Consider the following 21,630-nt stretch of genomic DNA (forward strand, 5'->3'; position numbering starts at 1 on the left):
TCAGGATATTTGGGTACAGTCCTCTCTATCACAAAAGTTTCCTACGTATCATTAATAGCAACTATATATTACTTAAAATTACAATAAAATGTCTCATTTGAGAAAAAAAAGAATGACCACGCAGTCACTGCTCAGAGCAATAAAATTTTGCAGGACAAAAATTGCAGAGACTCTCTGCTCTACCAGTGGAGAAAGTTTCTTGCTTAAAACTGATCGCTGCTTATTGAAAAGAATTTCCTGTCCTCTATCCTCTGCGGTCCTGGCTTTCTCTCTGAAAAAATTTGTTCTTGTAATACATTCTCCCTCACCACATCTGCATGAATATTAAAGAGATTTCTTTTGTCAGAAGCACTGCAGTTTTCATAGCCTGCTTCTGCACCCACTAATTTGGGAACTTGGGACTTTTTGAAGGCTAAATATTTGATTTCTTTAGTAAAAAAAAAAAATTATTAGAAGATTCAATGAGTTTATGGTCTAACTGCATACAGCTATTTTCTTGTGCTGGAAACCTACATCCAAGGCTCTTTTCTGGAAATAATTATGAAACCTATTCTTACGGTCTCACTTCTTTGTTAAGCCAGTGTCAATTGTTACCATTTTGATGATGGCTCTTGAAAGTATAAAACCATATAAAATAATAGACTTATTTGGAAAGCAACATACTTTATCTGATCTTTTGCACAGATGATCTATAGATTCACTTGTTGAGCTGAGAATTCTTAATGGACATTTTTTATTAAATCTTTTGAGCAGCAGGGTTATCTCCTACTGTGTAGGGTGATAAACGAAGGTGGCTTTTCCAGCCCCATCAGATCCCACATTTCTGGACTCTTTATTCTCTTCAAACTCTACTTGAAATTGTCTTGTTCTTCCTTCAGCTCATTAATTCCTGAAATAAGCTAGCTAAATGCAGCAATAAACAGCTAACACATGGTAACATTCTGGCCCTTTCCATCAGCCTCTCCTCCAGCTGAAGGCTCTTTAGGCAAGGGGTTTGCTCTTCCAGTTACCAGAAGTGACACTTTAAATAAATGTACTGCCTTCACTCTCACTTACGTGTCTATTCCACATTTTTTTTAGGTTTTTGTGGCAGGCAGAAAGCCTTCCAATGTACCAATTATTTATTAGCTACAGTAAAACCTACATTGCTAGAGCTAATAAGCCCCACAATATAGATTTCTTATTAAAACTGAAGAGTGTTTTCTGCTTACATTATGAGCCCAGGAACTCTATGCTCCATGAATCAGTCCAGAACCCAACAAATTGGGTATGGCTTTGTTATCCATGATACACAGCTATTAGTGTTGCCCTGGTCATCACCATTTTCATTTGGGATGAAAGTAAAAAACAAGGGAATTATGGGCAATTACATTTAATAAGGGGTATTGCTGTCCTGCATTTCACATTTACTTACATCTCAATCATGAGCACTTAGTCACATGGCACACCTAGCCACAAGGGAGGCTGAGAAGTACAGTCTCTCGGCAGAAGAGTATACCTGAGTTGGAGGAGAGCCAGAAGTCTGTTACTTGTGTAAATGTAACATATTATATCTGATCTTTGCCATAGAGATGTGTCACACTGTCTAAGGACTCTCAATAGGAGACCCTTGACAAGGGCTCTAGATGATCATTGTTTCCCTATTATTTGGAGTATAAAAGTAGTTGATTTTTACAACATTGCAAGATATCAAATTACTAGAAATTTATGCAATTTATATTATAGGCCATGGACAGACAGAGATTTTATTACCAAGATGTATTCTCTTCCATTTCCATTGTTGTTTGCACACTGATTATTTCCAACCAATCAATTACAACCCCTTTATATCCCATACTGAAAGATCTGAGGAGCTGCCAACACACACCAACATGCTAGTCTTTTTCAACAACTTTCCTGGCAGGGTGCAGTGGCTCATACCTATAATCCCATCACATTGGAAGGCTGAGGCTGGAGGATCACTTGACCTCAGGAGTTCTAGACCAGCCTAGGCAACATAAGGATACTCCATCTCTACCAAAAAAAAAAAAAAAAAGTTAGCCAAGCCTGGTGGTATGTACATGACTGTAGGCCTAGCTACTTGGGAAGCTGAGGTGGAAGCATCTCTTGAATCCAAGAGTTCAAGGCTACAGTGAGGTATGATCATGCCACTGCACTCTAGCCTGAGCAGCAAATCGAGACCCTGTCTCAAAACAAACAGACAAAAAAAACCACATCACCATCCCTAAAGCAGTAGGTTTTGCATACAAAAGATCCTTTCCGCTGAGCTTAGCAGGGGTTGTGGCCATTAATTTTTAATAATAACTAGGCAATCACAATAAATAATCAAATTCAAGTCATTAAATTTGAGTTAACTGGTTATTCAGCAGTCCATGAAGTTTGGTCTTTTGGCCCTTTTCTTTCAGTAATGCGGGCATAACACATGGTGACAGAGGAGCAGCTTGGTAACCATGAGACAGCATGAATGAGGACGAAAGTCAACTGCTGGAAATTAGAGAGGGAAAGACAAAGATAATCTAATTCAATGAGGTTATCATGGAGACCCTCCCTCAGTTTCATGCTTTCTTCCCCTAGACTTCTGTTATATAAGAGATAACCCTTCATGTTTAAGCCATTTTCAGTTGATTTTTCAGGATATCCCATATTTTCCCAATAAAAAGTACCTATAAAATATTTAAAGTTTCTGCTATTGGTAACCATTAAGTGATGCCTTGCTTTTGCTTGTGAATATAACCTGCAAGACCTATTTCAAAAGCAAGAATTCTAGAAGCAGGATAATAAAACAGGAATTATATCATTCAGTGGATGAGTCTTTGTTTTGAAACATTAGCCAGATACCATGTGGTCACCAGGCAGATTCGGTGAACAAGCATATCAAAATGACACATTCAGGCCTATAAAGGGCTAGTAGAAGATTTTGATACTAACCACTCCTTTCTGTACATGAAGATCAAGTCAGAATATGTTTTGTTTTTCTCTTTGTCTCATTTTTAACCTTCTATTGTCACTCTACTGCAGATAGCAACAATATATATATCAGAGAATTATCAGTTAATGAACCAGTACCAAAAGCATTCTAACTATTTATTAAAAATGATATGACCTTATTATTAATACATTGAAAAAAACTAAAAAATATATTTAATTTTTAAAATCTGGAAAATTTCTACATTACATCTTTACTCTCTCTCTATATATATGTATATGTATTTTAAAACATATATCCATATAGCAAACATATATTTCACTTCATAAATCTAGGAATTTGGAACATAACCCAAAAAGCACTGGCTTATTATACAAATAATTTGGGTCAAGATATCTCATTTCATGTTTCTTAGTTATAAAATATTTTGGTTGTGAGTAGATTTGAAAGAGCATGCGAATGCAAAAACTACTTATTAAAATGAGAGCATCCAAATCATGGTGGCAGTGAACGTTCAGCAGCATCTGAGGAAAATGCCATATCCATCATAGACACATTCATAATTTTCTTTTGATTAGGCTTTGCGATCTTCAATGGAAATTTTCAGGGCCATTGAAAAAATCTCACACATTTTTTTTCTGTCTCAATCTTAATTCTTCAGAGAATAATTAAGGAAAGTGAATAGCTCTGTTAGGCATTTCTCAATCATCTTTAAATGGGTCATGGTTTTAAATAGGATGTGTCAAATTGAAATTATATGAACTAAATTATACCTAAGTTACACTGTACCGTCTGCTTAATGACTTCTTTACAGGGGGTCAGTGAGTCATCAACTATTAATTGCAATTCATCTTTGAAACAGTCAAAATCAATGTATATTTTTCACTAAAGTCAAATAAGTAGCCTCAAGAAACACTGAAAAAGAGGTAACTAAATAACAGTCATAAATATTCAGTATCTATAAGCAAACAAAAAAATCCAGTTTTAATGTCAGATATATAATTTATTGCTAAATTCAGTCTCATATTTTGTTTCATGAATATGTACTTATATCAAAGATATATAATTCAAACTATCAAATCACTGAGACATCTATGTCCTTTAAATTTTTCTGGGACTTATATTTTCCTGTGTAAAGCCTATATTTCATATAGTTATTTTATATCCACAGAGATGAACTCACATTCTATCTTATTTTGACAGATCATTTTACTTTTTTTTTGTTTTACCATTTTGCTTTTCCTTTTTGCTCAATTGCACACTTTATTTCAAATGCTCAGTTTTATACTTAAAGTTTTAATATGTACACTTGACTAAACAAATTCTATAGTAATAAATTTCTGCACTTTGTGAGCAACGTAAAATATTATTTCATGACTTCTCAGCCATCTCTCTTCTAACACATCATTGTGCCCTGTGTCTTAATTTCATCACTTTTTCCAACAAAATATCCAGTATAGAATATTTATAGGTCATCAATATTTGTTTAGATTCACCACTATTTGTGCAGTTTCTGGTCCCATTAATCATTCTAACACATCATAGGAGGATCTGTGTCTACTTTCTGAAAGGTAATAAAAATAAAAAAATTTATTCAATAATGTTCTCCTAGCCTTAGGCACTTTGTTCAACTTTTTTTTTATTTGGCCATCAAAAATAGTGTCATTAATATTTTCAAAATTATAAATAATAATTTGAAATTATCATTATTTGGATATATAATTCTAGGTGGAGAATTATTTTCTGCCAGCATTCCTTCTAAGAAATTATCCAGCTCTGTGTTTGTTGGAAATTTTGTTTCACCTTGTTGCTGTTTCTTAGTAAGCAATCTAAATGAGTATTAGATTTAAAAATTATATCTTCATATCTAATGCTGGATAGTTTCATCATAATGTATCTAAGATTCATTTAACAAATGTCTGCTAAGTATATGCTTGGTGAGAGACACAATTTTAGAATACAAAGGTACAGTAGTTTTGAAAACTGTGCTGCCTGAGGTGAGGACGGACATCTTCCGCCAATTCTGGAAAAACTTCAGCTGGTGGCCGGACACGGTGGCTCATGCCTGTAATCTCAGCACTTTGGGAGGCCTAGGCGGGAGGATCACAAGGTCAGGAGATCGAGACCATCCTGGCTAACACGGTGAAACCCCATCTCTACTAAAAAATACAAAAAATTAGCTGGGCGTGGTGGCGAGCACCTGCAGTCCCAGCTATTCGGGAGGCTGAGGCAGGAGAATGGCGTGAACCCGGGAGGCGAAGCTTGCAGTGAGCTGAGATGGCGCCACTGTACTCCAGCCTGGGTGACAGAGCGAGACTCTGTGTCAAAAAAAAAAAAAAAAAACTTTCAGCTGGTATGTCTTGATTAGTATGGCCTTTTTCACACCCTATAATTCTTTAAACCTTTTGTTAGATATATCTTAGATGTTCTTATTATATATCTGCACATTTCAAACTCTCATATTCTCTGAATTCTAAACTCTCTGCAGTAAATCTTTGATCATGTTTTTAATTTATTTCTATAAATTTTCTCTTGGAACAAACTTAAAGTAATTTTTAGGTTACTTATTTTGGATACTGTTCTTTTTTACTGTAAATGTTCATAGCTATGTGTTTCACTCTGAAAACTGCTTTAGTTTTTTGTATACTTTTTACCATTTTATATGTACATTATATTCATCTCAAAGCATTTTCAAACCTTTCTTGTAATTTCTTCGACCCACTGCTTATTTAAGAATCTGTTGTTTGATAGCTGCATATTTGTAAATTTCTCAAATTTCCTTTTGAAGATTTTTAAAATTTCATTGAGGTTGAAGAATATAATTTGTATTATTGCAATTTTAAAAAATTTTATTGAGGCTTTTAAAAATGTTCCACGTGCACTTTAAAAAAGTATGCTTTCTGCTTTTGCTAAATAGAGTGTCCTATAGATAGATGTGTGTTACAGTTAGTTGTGTGTTAAAATCTTTTTCTTTATTGATCTGTCTCCTTGTTCTATTCTCATTGAAAGAGGTATTAAAATCTCCAACTACTACTGTTGAATTGTCTATTCTTTCCTTCAATTCTGTCAATATTTATCTAAAGTATCTTTGGATTCTGTTGTTAAATGCTTAAATTTTATATATTCCCAAATCTATTGACTCTTAGCATTATGCACTGTCCCTCCTTCTATCTAGCAACATTTTTTAAAATTTTATTTTTGTTATTTGAGATGGAGTCTTGCTTTGTCACCTAGGCTGGAGTGCAGAGATGCTATCTCGGCTCACTGCAACCTCCGTCTCCCAGGTTGAAGCGATTCTCCTGCTTTAGCCTCCTGAGTAGCTGGGATTACAAGCGCCTGACACCACGCCCAGCTAATTTTTTGTATTTTTAGTACAGATGAGGTTTCACCATGTTGGCCGGGCTGGTTTGAACTCCTGACTTCAAATGATCTGCCTGCCTTCACCTCCCAAAGTTCTGGGATTACAGGCATGAACCACTGTGCCCGGCCTTTCTAGCAACATTTTTAAAGTTTCACTCCAGGTCTCACGATTGCTTTTTGCACAGTATATCCTTTCATCCTTTTATTGTAAATACATTTTAATTTCTGATTCTGAAGTACCTCCCTTGTAAACATATAGCTGGATATTGATTTTATTCATTGAAACTCATAATCTTTGACTTTTAATTATATTGTTTAATCTATTCACATTTAATGTTGTAACTGATATGTGGGAGTGATATCTAATACATCATCCATATTTCTATCTCTTTCTATATCCTTCATGTGTCTTTGCACTTCTGTTTCCTTTTAACTATTTCATATTAAGTGGCTATATTCTAGTATAATCCTTAATTCTTTTAGTGATTTTTAATAATATTACTTAGATATTTTCTTAGTGATGGTTTCAGGGTGTTAAATATGAATATTAACTTCCATACAATTTAGATTATACTGACTTAGGTCCAGTGTAACACAGCAGTTTTATTTCTGTAGAGCTTAATTCCTCCCCTCCTTTTTGTGTGTTATCATCTCATACATAGTGGGCCCATAGGTGTTACAACCCCAACAAACATTATTAGTTACCATTTCTATTTCTCTTCATTTCTCTCTGGAGATCTGATACAAGGGCCAGGCATGGTGTCTCACGCCTATAATCCCAGCAATTCAAGAGGCCGAGGTGGGCGGATCACTTGAGGTCAGGAGTTGGAGACCAGCCTGACCATCATGTTGAAACCCTGTCTCTACTAAAAATACAAAAATTAGCTGGGCATGGTGGCAGGTGCCTGTAATCCGAGCTACTCAGGAGGCTAAGGCAGGAGGCTGCAGTGAGCCTAGATCATGCCACTGCACTCCAGACTAGGCGACAGAGTGAGACTCCATCTCAAAATAAAAATTAAAAAAAAAAAAGGATCTGATACAAGTTCTTCACTCCAATGTAGTATGCTTTGTTTCCATCCCCATTCTTTGTGCTGTTATTGTCAAATACATTGCATTTTTACGCTGATGGCTCAATAAATACAAATATGTAAATGTTATTTCATACAATTGCTTTTAAAATCAACTATGAAAAAAGAGTAGAAGAAATATCAATTATACTTCATCTTATATTTTTTGTAGTGATCTGTGTAACTATATAATTATATTTTATAGTGATCTGCATAATTATCTTTACCAGTATTCTGCTTTTTATCATGTGATTCTTTTTTTCTTTAGACAGAGTCTCACTCTGTTGCCCAGGCTGGAGTGCAGGGGCATGGTTTTGGCTCACTGCAACCTCTGCCTCCTGAGTTCAAGTGATTCTCTTGCCTCATCCGCTCGAGTAGCTGGAATTACGGGTGCACACCACCACGCCTGTTAATTTTTGTAGTTTTGGTAGAGAAAGAGTTTCTGCATGTTGGTCAGGCAACTTTAGAACTCCTGACCCCAAATGATCCACCTGCCTCAGCCTCCCAAAGTGCTGGGATTACAGGTGTGAGCCACCATGTCCGGCCTATCATGTGAATTTGAATTGCTGTCTACCTATCACTAGCTCTCAGCCTGAAAACCTGCTTCCATATTTTGTATTAGCTGGGATTGACAACAACACATTCACTCAGCTTTTGTTTATCTGGGAATGTCTTTCTTTTGTCTTCAGTTTTGAAAATCATTTTGTTGTACATAAGATCTTTGCTGACAGATTTTTTTTTGGCTGGTTTTAATTTTAACATTTAACATAATATTCCATTGCCTTCTGACATGTATTTTTTTCTAGTTGGAAATTCACTGTTAACTTGGGCTTTTATTACAAATGATAAATAGTTTTCTTCTTGCTATTTTCAAGATTTTCTCTCTCTCTTTGGCTTTCAACATTTTACTTGATGTGTCTGATTTGGATCTCCTTGTTTTCATCCTATTGTACTGTGTTGAGCTTCTGGGTTTGTAATTCCTGCTTTTCATCACATTGAAAAGGTTACAATCGCTTTATCATTAAATATTGCTTCTTTTCCTTTCTTAGTGTTCACTATCTCTCTATCTAAACTTATATGTGTGTATACATATATATATATTTACATATATGTGTAGTGTGTGTGTTTGTATATACATTACCAACACATATTTGTATGCAGACAATGAACCTCACTGACTCATATGTGTCCAAAATTCAGAGCAACAAAAAACAAAACACAGCAGAAAAAGTGTGTTTTTATTGCTATTATTGTCTCTTATTTTAAAAATTGAAATAATGTCAGCTCTTAATCTTCTACATTAAATGCCATCGAAATGGTATAACTCAGAATATTCTTTTAAAAAAACAACAATTCAAGCTCTTAGAATCTGATCAATATCTCTGAGTGTTACTATCCTAAGGGAGAAATCTTAATCTACCTCATAGTGCTAAAATGTCATAGCTCTTTGACATTAAAAGCTTCCCCAGTTTTCTAAAGAGAATTATCCCAATGATAGGGCAAGGTTCTCTTATTTGTCAGATCCTGTACAACTTTAAAGATTAGATGTCAGGGACATAGTGCCATAGAGATTCCTCCATGCCTCTCTGCCACCCCTCACAAGCAACCGTCTCTCTATTATACTCTGCTTAGGGAATCTCCCTTTTATAAACAACTGTATTGTTTTCTATTGCAGCTATAAGCACTTACAACAAACTTTCTGGCATAAAACAACACAAACTTATGACCTTACAGATCTGGAAGCCAAAGGTCCAAAATATGTCTCACTGTGCTAAAATCAAGGTGTCCACAGGGATGCATTCATTTTTGGAAACTCTAGGGAAGAATCTGTTTTCTTGCCTTTTCCAACTTTGAGAGGCTGCCCAGATTCTTTGGGTCATGATCCCATTTTATCCTGAAAACCAGCTACGGACAGTTGAGTCTTTCTCACATTGCGCATCACTGTGATACTAACTCCCCTAACTCCCTCTTCCATATTTTAGGGATCCTTGTGATACATTATGCCTACCCAGATAATCCAGTATAATCTTCATTTTTAAACGCCAAATTCCATCTGAACCCTTAACTCCCTTAAGCGATGTAACATAATAACATATTCACAGACTCCAGAGATTAAGAGCTGGATATCTTTGGGGGCCTCTTATTTTGCTTACTGCAGTACTTTTGACTTTCTCCCACACATTTTTCTAAACAGAAACATCGGTATTTGATTAAACTTGAGGAATGGATTGTTCCTAATTTTAATACTACCTCAAGTGAAAGTCCTGTTTAAGTCACCTAATGCTTTTACAATAAATAACATTTGGTCTAATGGTCCAGATTTAGAAATTCAGTAGATTTCTAATCAGACCTAGAAATTCACTTTGGCATTCATGCATGTTTCAGAACTATGATATTCAGGAACTCAAATATTTCTACTCTTGATTTGTATTTCCTGAACTGACGTTTTTGTTTTAGATCATATCAGTTTCAGTTTTTTATATTCTTACTTTAAGTATAGCCATCTATAGTCTTGTGAAATTTTCATAAATCACATTTTTTTTTTCAGAGTGGGAAAGCAAACTGTATGTTTGAAAAGAGGATTTGAAAAAAAGGCAAATGGAAATTTGACAGTAAATGCATTTAATGGGAAAAGAACAATATGCCATATTTACTTACTTAATACCTGGTATGATTTGGTTGTGTCTCCACTCAAATCTCATCTTGAACTATAGCTCCCACAGTTCCCACGTGTTGTGGGAGGGAACTGTTAGGAGGTAATTGAATCATAGGGGTGGGTCTTTCCCATGCTGTTCTCATGATAGTGAATAAGTCTCATAAGATCTGATGGTTTTATAAAGAGGTGTTTCCGTGAACAAGTTCTCTTCTTTTGTCTAACGCCATGTGAGACATGCCTTTCACCTTCCACCATCATTGTGAGGCCTCCCCAGCCACGTGGAACCGTGAGTCCATGAAACCTCTTTCTTTTGTAAATTGCCCAGTTTCAGGCATGTCTTTATCAGCAGCAGCATGAAAACAGACTAATACAATACCCGTCCCCCTTTATTTAGGTTATGTGATATAGTAATAGCAATGAATGAGCATGTGATTCCTCATTTACTTCCTGCATTGAGAAATTTTATTAACCATTAAATCCTTGTCTCCCCTCAATTTTTACTAAAACCAATAATTTTATAAATGTTTAAAAATATCTCAGGCAGAGATCATTAAGAACATCTTCCATATTTTCTTTAATGATTACTTTTATTCTGATAAATGTCACTGCTTTAGGAAGGCTTTGAAAATTCCCATAGTGTGTGTAGGTATATTCACATATTTTTTAAAGGAGGCAAATTCATGAGATTAATTAAACATTTCACTTCATTTTATATTTCATTATTAACATGTTTTGTCAAAGGAGCTAAAAGTTGGGCAACTGTTATAATAACAAAGTCCTATTTGTTTTTGTTGTTGTTGTTAACAAATAACTCATCATATTAGTCCATTTTCATGCTGCTTATAAAGACATACCTGAGACTGGGAAGAAAAGGAGGTTTAATTGGAGGTACAGTTCCACATGGCTAGGGAGGCCTCAGAATCATGGCAGGATATGAAAGGCACTTCTTACATGGCGGCGGCAAGAGAAAATGAGGATGCAAAAGCAGAAACCCCTGATAAAACCATCAGATCTCAGAAGACTTATTCACTATCATGAGAACACTATGAAGAAAACCATCCCCATGATTCAAATGATCTCCCACCAGCTCCCTCCCACAACACTTGGGAATTATGGGAGTACAATTCAAGATAAGATTTGGGTGGGAACTCAGAGCCAAACCATGTCATTTGGCATTTGTAAATATTTGCACAGGGAGAATTAGAAAAATGATATTTTACCTGTTATGGTCTGAACATTTGTACCTTTCCAAAATTCACATGTTGAAACTCTAATCCCCAAAATGATGGTATAAGGAGGTGGGGCTTTTGGAAAATGATTAGGTCATCGGAGTAAAGCCTTCATGAATGAAATGAGTGACTTTATAAAATAAGTCTGAGAGAGACCTCCCCCTGAGCTGTTCCGCCATTTGAATTTATAGCAAAAAAACAGATGTTTATGAACCAGCAAGTAGGCTGACCCTCACCAGATACCTAATCTGCTGGTGCCTTGATCTTAAACTTCCCTGCCTCTAAAACTATGAAAAATAAATGTCTGTCATTTATAAGCTACATAGTATGTATCAATTTATTACAGCAATTCAAACAGACTAAGAGAAAATTAGTACTAAAGAGTGGGGGTGCTCTATGCTATAACATATACCTAAACATATGGAAGTGGGGACGTTTTGGGATTGGGTAGTGGGTAGAGGCTAAAAGAGTTTCAAAGTGCATGGTAGAAAAAGTCAACACAGCTCTGAAAGGATCTTTAGAATGTGAGTCTGGTGTGAGCTCTGAAGGACAGGAGAAAAGCTGTAGAGAAAGCTGGAATTTTCTTAGAGACTAAGTAGTCAAGAATATAATGCTGGCAGAAATAAGCTTGGTAAAGGTCACACTGATGAAGTTTCAGGTTGAAATGAGGAACATGTCATTGGAAAATGGAGAAAAGGTCACTCTCTTAATAAAGGAGTAAAGAATTTGGCTGAATTTTCCTCGTGTTTTCAGGAAAGTAGAAATTGTAAGCACTGAAATAGAATATTTGGCTGAGGAAATTTCTGAGCAAAGTATTGGAAGAGTGGCCTGGTTCCTCTTGCCTGCTGATAGTAAAATATGCAAAGAGAAAAATGATTTAAAATTGATTGTAACCAAAAGGGAAGCAGAACTTCAAAATCTTGAAGCAGATTCAGCCTATCTACATTGGAAAGCATGAGGAAACCTGTTTGGGAGAGAACAAGTGTGGGCCAACCAACTGTTGGATAAGTAGATTAGTATGGATAGGCCACCTCAATGGAAGGTAGGTGCTATTCATCAAAAATAATGAAAGGGTTATGCTGCCATCTAAACAGAAGCCAGGGCTTATTGTAAAAGGCAATGGAAGAATGACCCTGAAGGCATTTTAGAGATTGTCTATGCTGCCATTCCCATCACGAGCCCAGAATTCCAGGGTCTGGGGGGCAGAAGTTTATCAAAAGAGAGACCACCACTGATTATAACAGCCTCCTCACATTGCAGTCTCCACTCCCCGCACTCTGCAGTTCTCCTCCTCAGTCACCCCACCAGTGAAATCAGCAGCCTTAGCGAAGTGTGTATTTCACCCAGGAAAGCAGAGGGGATGTGACTAGATTTCAAAGGATGCCCTGAGAGAGCTAGAAGGTCCAGGCAGAGAACCCACAGGGATGGGCCCACCTCAGAGAACTGCCATGGGGACAGGCTATCACAGAGAGCACCAACTAAGGTAATGCCAGCAGAGCCATGGGGGCAAGGCTGCCTCCATGAACCCAGATTTCAGCACTGGAGAGCTGCAGCCCTTACAATTTGATATATTTTGCCCTGTTGGTGTTGGACTTGATCTGGGCCTGTGTGTATATGAATGCACATACATACATGCATGCATCCATATCTACATCTACATAAACATATATACATATAAATAATATCAGATTTTCAGCAAACATGAGGTGTGTGTATTTTAGTTCCTTGCATGTCATCTCAGAAATTGAGGTCACAGGAATAGATTAAAACAGGCTCTTTTTTGTCTTCAATATTTTATTCTCAGAAAAATCTTTCTTAACTACTCTACACCCTGATCTATATTCTCTTCATGTTGTCAATGATTATGTTGTACTCCCAATTTCCAGGACAGCAGAACAGATATGCTTTTTTTTTTTCTTTGTGCTTTAAATGCTACAAATGAAAATTACTGGTTTAAGACACAGTTTAATTTGTAATCACATTTGGCTTTGCCAAATTAATGAGTATATTCTAATTGATAAATGCTGCAATTTTTTTCATACTAAACACTTGTCTCCTTCTATCCACGATTTTATTTCTAAAATGTTATGTTTTAAAGCAAAGCTTCAAACAATAGGTGTTTGTGTATGAGTGGTATACGTATGCGAGTGTATGTGTTTAATTTTTTTCCAAAGGAAAAATTAAGTGTTCTTAATTTTGTGCTTGAAATACAGAAATACATTTTTTTTGCACACAGATGTCTACTTCTAAAACTGATAAGCCCATGTGTCTTTTTTCTAACCTAAATCAGCTTATAATATCGTTGATCATACCACATTGCTAAAGGTCAAAGCACTTTTTAACAGATGTATAGGTACTTTAATGTCAAGTCAGAAAGAAACATGCTCCCTTATTATAAAATATTTACTAACAGATAAAATATAACACCCACACAGATACTGAAATGTTGTTCTAATGATTAGCCGTCCTTTTATTAATTAGTTTATTTTTGAAGCCCTTTGTATAAAGATGGCTAGATCCCTGGAAAGCTGGTAAACTTTTTAGATTTATTTTTATCTATAATCACATCCAAAAACATTGCCAGATGTATTAGGCTGTTGTTGCACTGCTATAAAGAAATACCTGAGACTAGGTAACTTATAAGAAGAGATATTTAATTGGCTCACGGTTCTGCAGGCTGTGTAGGAAGCATAGTGATACCTGCTTCTGGAGAGGCCTCAGGGAGCTCTTAGTCATGGCAGAAAGTGAGGCAGGACCAGGCCCGTCACGATGAGACCAGGAGCAAGAGAGATGGGAGGAGGCACTACTCACCTGTAAACAATGAGATCTTGTGAGAATTCACTCACTATCACAAGAACAGCACTAAGGGGATGGTATTCATGAGGGATCCACCCCCATGATCCAATCACCTCCCATCACACTCCACCTCCAACATTGGGGATTACAGTTCAACATGAGATTTGGGTGAGGTCACATATCCAAATTATATCACCAGATTAGGATTTTTGTTTTGTCTTAAGCAGTCTTTATATTCAAGGACAAGTGAGGAAGACTTCCTCAAATAGTTTTTGTTTTAAGTAATCTGACCTATTTTGGGGAAAGAAATGAGAAGTTCTTCTACAAAAGTGATTGATTCTCCACTAAATTGTTATAGTTTCATGATTCCTAAAAATGGGTTTATGCTATAGAGATTTGATATCTCCTATACGCCACTCTCAGGTTGGCCCTCTCCATTACAAGGCAAGGAAGGGGAGGAAATGGACTCAAATCTCTCAGCCTCACCTCTATCCTTTCTGACTCCAAGAGGTGATGGAGAGAGGAAAGAAAGGAAAGAGAAGGCAAGCATGACAAAACTTCTCTACCTTTGAGTCATTTTTAAAGCCACAAAAGGTGGAATTCAGCTATCTTCATCAGCAAAATGAGATGGGTGATGAGTGGGTTGGCCAGATGACAAATTGCTAAGCATCACTCTCACTAAATGTTGTATACGTAACCTCCACAGCTCCAGCAAGCTCTCAGGAATATAACCCAAGGGTCCATGCATATAAGCTAAGGAAATTTTATAATATTTCTCCATTTACTTCTCATATCTTCAACAATAAGTTATATGAGGTACCTGCCAAAAGCAGAGGTAACTTCTATTTTTTAGTATTTTAAAATAATTAACAAAGTATACATTTTATAAAACTAAGAGATCAAACATTGAATTATTACAATGCTTATCTATTTCCTATTCAAAAAATTGCATCATATTGTATCTTAACACACTGAGTTTCACATTTTTCTGGGGAAATTTTCTTATGTAGAGTTGTGAGGAGTTTCAGAACCTCACTGTTGGAGGGCAAGTGACCACTGGTTTTGCATGTGACCTACTGTGTTCTGCAAAAGTACAGCACATTGTCTGCACATTTCTAAACATTCATGAATCAAAACGAAGGAACAGTGATTACATCCTTTTATATATTTTTAAAAGGTTTCACGTCTATTAATGACATGAAATATTCAACAGAAAAATTTAAAAATTATTTCACACGAGAGATATATGCATTTCATATTTCTTATATTGTAATAAATAAAATAGGTTTTGTTGAAAATGGTAAACACAATATTTGTTGTGACTTTCTTGACTTTAATAGTCAATACTAAATTTATTTAGCTTTTATTATAGGCTTTTTCCACAAAAAGAGGAAAGAATTATTATGTGACTATTTGAGTGTCAAGGGGCTTGCTTCAGGTGTATAAGAGGGAATTGTCTAAGTTTAATTTCTCTTTAATTTTTCTGAAAATATTTCACACAGGATCAAGAACATCTTGATAAAGAAAAGATAGTGTTCTTTTGCAAATGCAAATAACAACATAAAAATCATCTCCCTTGTCAGCGAGAAATGTTCTACTCAGACAGAAAGTAAATGTTTGCCTATAATATCTCATACTTAGAAATGGATTGGATATACATACATCAAATTTACATTCTATAAATTATCCACATGAAGTCCTAATATTTACCTCCATTATGCATTGCTGGAGTAATAGGAAGTACACACAGCCAAAGTTATGTTTATTGAAACCTCTTTTGTTACTTCTGCAATCTACCTTATCAAGAAGAGTCTTGCATAAGAACCTTGGTGGCAATAGCTCTGAAGTGATCATCTGATCCAAATATATATTTACTGCATTAAATACATTTTATTTAACTCAGAAAATTAAAAATATACAAAATGCAGATTACAAGTATTAGGGAGGATGTGGAGAAAAGGGAAAGCTTGTATTTTGTGTGTGAAACTGTAAAATAGTACAACCACTACAGAAAACTGCATGGAGGTTCCTTAAGAAGCTAAAAATTAAATTACCATATGATCCAGCAATCTGATTTCTGAGTGTATGTCTAAAATACATGAAATCAGCATGATGAAGAGATATCTGCACTTCAGATATTGAAGTATCATTCATAACAGCCAAGTTACGGAATCAACCAAGTGTCCATCAGAGATGAATGAATAAAGAAAAGGTGGTATATATATACAATGGAATATTATTCAGCATTAAGAGAGGGAAATTCTGTCATCTGCAACAAAATGAATAAACCTGGAAGACCAATATGCTTTGGCCCTGTGTCCCCATGCAAATCTCATCTAGAATTGTAATCCCCACATTTCAGGGGTGGAGCCTGATGGGAGGTGATTGAATCATGGGGGCGGACATCCCCCTGGCTGTTAGCATGATAGTGATAGAGTTCTCATGAGATCTGATTATTTGAATGTGTGTGGCACTTCCCGTTTTGTGCTCTCTCCTGTCACTATGTACCTTGCTTTCTCTTTGCCTTCCGCCATGATTGTAACCTTCCTGAGTCCTCTACAGCCATGAACTATGAGTCAATTAAAACTTTTTTTTATAAGTTACCCAGTCTCAGGTAGTTCTTCATAGCAATGTGAAAATGGACTAATACAGAAAGCTGGTACCGGGAAAGTGTGGCACTGCTACAAAGATACCTGAAAATGTGGAAGTGACTTTGGAACTGGGTAACGGGCAGAGGTTGGGAGAGTTTGGAGGGCTCAGAAGAAGACGGGAAGATATGGGAAAGTTTGGAACTTCCTAGAGACTTGTTGAATAGTTTTGATCAAAATGTCGATAGTGATATGGACAATAAAGTCCCGGCTGAGGTAGTCTCAGATAGAGATGAGGAACTTATTGTGAACTATAGTAAAGGTCACTCTTTCTATGCTTTAGCAAAGAGACTGGTGACATTTTGCCCCTCTCCTAGAGATCTGTTAAGCTTTGAACTTGAGAGAGAGAAGTTAGGGCATCTGGCAGAAGAAATTTGTAAGCAGAAAGGCATTCAAGATTTGACCTGGTGGTTTCTTTTTCTTTTCCTTTTTTTTTTTTTTTTTGAGACGGAGTCTCGCTCTGTCACCCAGACTGGAGTGCAGTGGTGTGATTTTGGCTCACTGCAACCTCTAGCTCCCAGGTTCAAGCGATTCTCCTGCCTCAGCCTCTCAAGTAGCTGGGATTACAGGCATGCACCACCACGCCCTGACCTGGCAGTTTCTAAAAGTGTACAGTCACATGCATTCACAAAGAGATGGTTTGAAATTGGAATTTATGTTTAAAAGGAAAGAAGACATTAAAAGTTTGGAAAATTTGCAACTTGACCATGTGGTTAAAAAAATAAAAACCCATTTTCTGGGGAGAAATTCAGGCTGGCTGCATAAATTTGCATAAATCAAGAGGATCCTGATGTTAATCTCCAAGAAAATGAGGAAAAAGTCCTCAGGGCATTTCAGAGATCTTCACGGCTGCAACTCCCATCACAGTCCTAAAGGCCTAGAAGGGAAAAATTTTTTCTTGGGTTGGGCCCAGGTCCTCGGTCCTCTGTGCAGCCTTGGGACGTGAAGACCTGTGTCCCAGCAGCTCCAGCTCCAGCCATGGCTCATGCCACTGCTTCAGAGGGTGCAAGCCCCAAGCCTTGGCAACTTCCACATACTGCTGGGCCTGCAGGTGTGCAGAAGACAAGAATTGAGGTTTAGGAACCTCCACCTAGATTTCAGATAATATATGGAAGTGCCTGGATATCCAGGCAGAAGTGTGCTGCAGGAATGGAGCTGTCGTGGAAACCTCTATGAGGGCAGTGCACAGGAGAAATGTGGGGTTGGAGCCCTCACACAGAGTTCCCACTGGGGCACTGCCTAGTGGAGCTGTGAGAAGAGGGCCACAGTCCTATAGAACCCAGAATGATAAATTCACCGATAGCTCGCCCTGGCTGCCTGGAAAAGCTGTCGGCACTCAATGCCAAGCCCTGAAAGCAATCAAAGGGGCTGTATCTTGCAGAGACACAAGAGTAGAATTGCCTAAGGCCTTGAGAGCCCACTTGTTGCATCAGCATTCCCTGGATGTGAGACATGGAGTCAAAGGAGATTATTTCAGAGCTTTGAGACTTAATGACTGTCCTGCTGGGTTTTGGATTTGGATGGGGCCCATAGCCCCTTTGTTTTGACCAATTTCTCCCTTTTGGAACAGGAGTTATCTACCCAATGCCTGTAACCCCATTGTAACTAATCTGTTTTTGATTTTACAGGCTCATAGGCGGAAGGGACTTGTTTGTCTCAGAAAGACTTTGGACTGGACTTTTGGTTTAATGCTGGAATGAGTTAAGACTTTGGGGAACTCTTGGGAAGGCATGATTGGCTTTGAAAAGTGAGAAGAACATGATATTTTAAAGGGGCCAGGGGCAGAACAATATGGTTTGGCTCTGTGTCCCTGCCCAAATCTTATCTCAAATTGTAATTCTAACATGTTGGGGGAGGGGCCTGGTGGGAGGTAATTGAATCATGGGGGCACACTTCCCCTTTTCTGTTCTTGTGATAGTGAGTGAGTTCTCATAAGATCTGGTGGCACTTCCCCCTTCACACTCTTTCTCTCCTGCCACCATATAAGATGGCTTGCTTCCCCTTTGTCTTTTGCCATGATTGTACATTTCCTGAGGCCTCTCCAGCCTCAGGAACTGTGTGTCAATTAAACCTCTTTTCTTTACAAATTACCCAGTCTCAGGTAGTTCTTTACAGCAGTGTGTAAAAGGACTAATACAAAGACATTATGCTAAGTGAAATAAGCCAGGCACAGAAAGACAAATACCATATGTTCTCACTTTTATGTGGACTCTATAATAGCTGAATTCTAGAAGTAGAGAACAGAATAGTTACCAGAGATTTAGGAGTGAGAGGAATGAAGAGATATTGTTGAAAGAGTGCAATATTTCTGTGAGACAGGAGAAATAAATGGTAATTATTAGAGGCGATGGGTATGAACTTGATTTAGTCATTCCAAATTGGATGCATATATTAAAGCATAACTCTATACCCTATAAATGTAAGTGATTATAATCTGTCAATATTCAATATAATATACACATATATGTAATTATATACAGATACCTATAATATATAGAAAATGCATCTACTGAGGCTGAATGAACCTTTCTTTAAACTGGAAGCTGTAAAATTGATCAATATAAATATATATAATGATATATAAAGGTTATAGTGGGCCTATTGGGTCTTCTAATAACAACCTCTATATTTCTCCCCACTAAATAATGAGTATTAATCAGAGTGCCTAATGGAATAATTTTAGTCCAATCAATTATTTTCTTCAGCATCTAATTTTCTCATATTCCATAATGTCTTGTTTTCATGCATAACATTTTTTTCCTTCAGGACCATTATACTAAATTTTATTTATTTTATGTGCACTTGTTCCAAGCACATTTTCTTAAATGTCTGTTCCTTATCTATTGATTTCTATGGAAATTTTTATTTTCCTCCAAAATGGCATCTGGGAGTTCATATGTTTGGACCATTTTTATCCTCATTGCTGTTTGTCTTCATTTGTCTTTTTCTCTGATCACTATTTTATATATATACACACACACACACACACATACATACATATATAAATATATATGTGCATATATATTTCCCAGCATTTAATACATTTAATATCCCTTAGTGGATAGGGATGACAACTTACAAATTTAAATACTTTTTTTTATAAAGGAGTCATTTTTTTCTATTGAATTTAAGCTAAAACATGATCCCTCAGTTCTGTAGGCCATTGCACTTTCAATATAGCATTATTAAATCCAAATCATTACATAGCAATAAGCAAATAACTACACCCATAAGAAGAATGCCCATATAATTGAGCAAAAGAACACTTTGCCCTGGAGCCTGTGCTTTCAAGGGCTCCACTATGGTCCTCTCTCTGGCCACATTCCTCCCCAAAGTACAAGGAGTTTACCAGGTCCAAGGGGATGAGGTTAGTTGGAGGTGATGCTGCTCACCCCCACCTACCACCTTTGAGATCATGCTGTAGAACATAAAGACTTAGAATTCTGTCTTCAAAGGGTTTTGAGACTGCTTCCAGCATCCATGTTCCTCTCCACCAGTTCTGTCTTTCATGGTGAACCACATATACAGAGTGCACAACTAGAGGCCCTGTGGGCCAATGGGAAGCTTTTTGCTAGAGCTACAGTGGTAGACTGAGTTTCAACATATCAACAGAGGTACCCAAAATGTATACACACAAGGCCTCTCACGGTGTGAGACCAGGTCAGGGCACTGGCTCTCTCTATGTCCTCATATTCTGTGCTGGATGTTGACGGCCCAAGAATTCTAGTTCCAAACCTGAATTTCATTGAGAAGGTATATGTGTCAAAGTGAGAGAACACAGCATACTTTATTTAACAGTTTGTTAACTTGATTTATAACTTTTAAATATGCAAACATACACTATATAGGTTTTGATTATTATCCTTGCCCTAGGCCTTAAGAATGTTAAGTTTAAGACAACTGAATATTTTATTACATATAAAAATGCAACCACATATACTCAAAAACATTAATGTCAAACTAGTAGTCCCTACTTCTAAAATATAATGAAATATTCCATTTAACATTATATTTAGAGTGGCTCCCTTATGGAATCATGACATCTTTGCTGATTTAGTTACAGTTGAACTAAGTATTTTGCCTGAAATCAACACTTTATTTTTCAAAACTCCCAAGATATAGTGTGTGACAGATATGTCTTCCACTTATTTTTTTAACCTAGGCTTTATTAATAAGACAAATTATTAGTCACAAATAAAACCTTAAAAATACAGTTCAGCCTTATTTACAACTATTTAGTTGTTTACCTAAAATATCCTACATTATACACACACAGGCGCACACACACATATTTCTAATAGAAACTATAAGAAGCAGCCTCGACAAATCAAGAGGACATTATGTTACGTAAAATAAGCTAAGAACAGAAAGTTAAACACTGCATGTTCTCACTCATATGTGGAAACTAAAAAAAAGTTGATCTCAGAGGAGGAAAAATAGAATGGAATATACTAGAGACAGGGAAGGGTGGGATGAGAGAAGGATAAAGAGAGATTTGTCAAGGGATACAAAATTACAGCTAGAGACAAATAAGTTCTAGTGTTCTATAGCATTGTGGGATGACCGTAGTTGATAATAATATATAGTTTCAAATTGCTAGAAGGGGTATACTGAATGTTCCCATCACAAAGAAATGATAAATTTTGACATGATGGATATGTGAATTACACGAATCTGTTAACTATTCATTTTATGTATCAAAATATCACTACATACCCCATAAATATGTACAATTATCACATGTCAATTTAAAAAATATAATAATTAAGAAAAAATACAAAACATTAAATAACGGTGATAGTAGATTTGTCCTCTCAAATATTAAAACATTCGATAAATTTACATAGTTAAAATAGAGGGTAAATATAGAAAAATAATAAAAATTGTGATGACTCGTGTGATAACTTGACAGTGCTACTTTGAATATTAAGAATAGTGTAGCTGGCTG

The 21,630-nt window shown here is 36.5% G+C and overlaps 1 protein-coding gene and 1 long non-coding RNA gene across 2 annotated transcripts in view; both read right to left on the reverse strand.

Annotated features, from left to right (window-relative positions):
- C1QTNF3-AMACR (C1QTNF3-AMACR readthrough (NMD candidate)) overlaps positions 1-14,049 on the reverse strand; it is a 137,543-nt gene extending 123,494 nt beyond the window's left edge. Inside the window, exon 1 of the long non-coding RNA NR_037951.1 lies at positions 13,939-14,049. This is a non-coding gene — a long non-coding RNA (C1QTNF3-AMACR readthrough (NMD candidate)). The remainder of the gene's footprint in view (positions 1-13,938) is intronic.
- C1QTNF3 (C1q and TNF related 3) overlaps positions 1-21,630 on the reverse strand; it is a 226,867-nt gene that overhangs the window by 92,622 nt on the left and 112,615 nt on the right. The window lies entirely within an intron of this gene.

The sequence above is a fragment of the Homo sapiens genome, chromosome 5, assembly GCF_000001405.40.
Source record: "Homo sapiens chromosome 5, GRCh38.p14 Primary Assembly".
Lineage (NCBI taxonomy): Eukaryota > Metazoa > Chordata > Mammalia > Primates > Hominidae > Homo > Homo sapiens.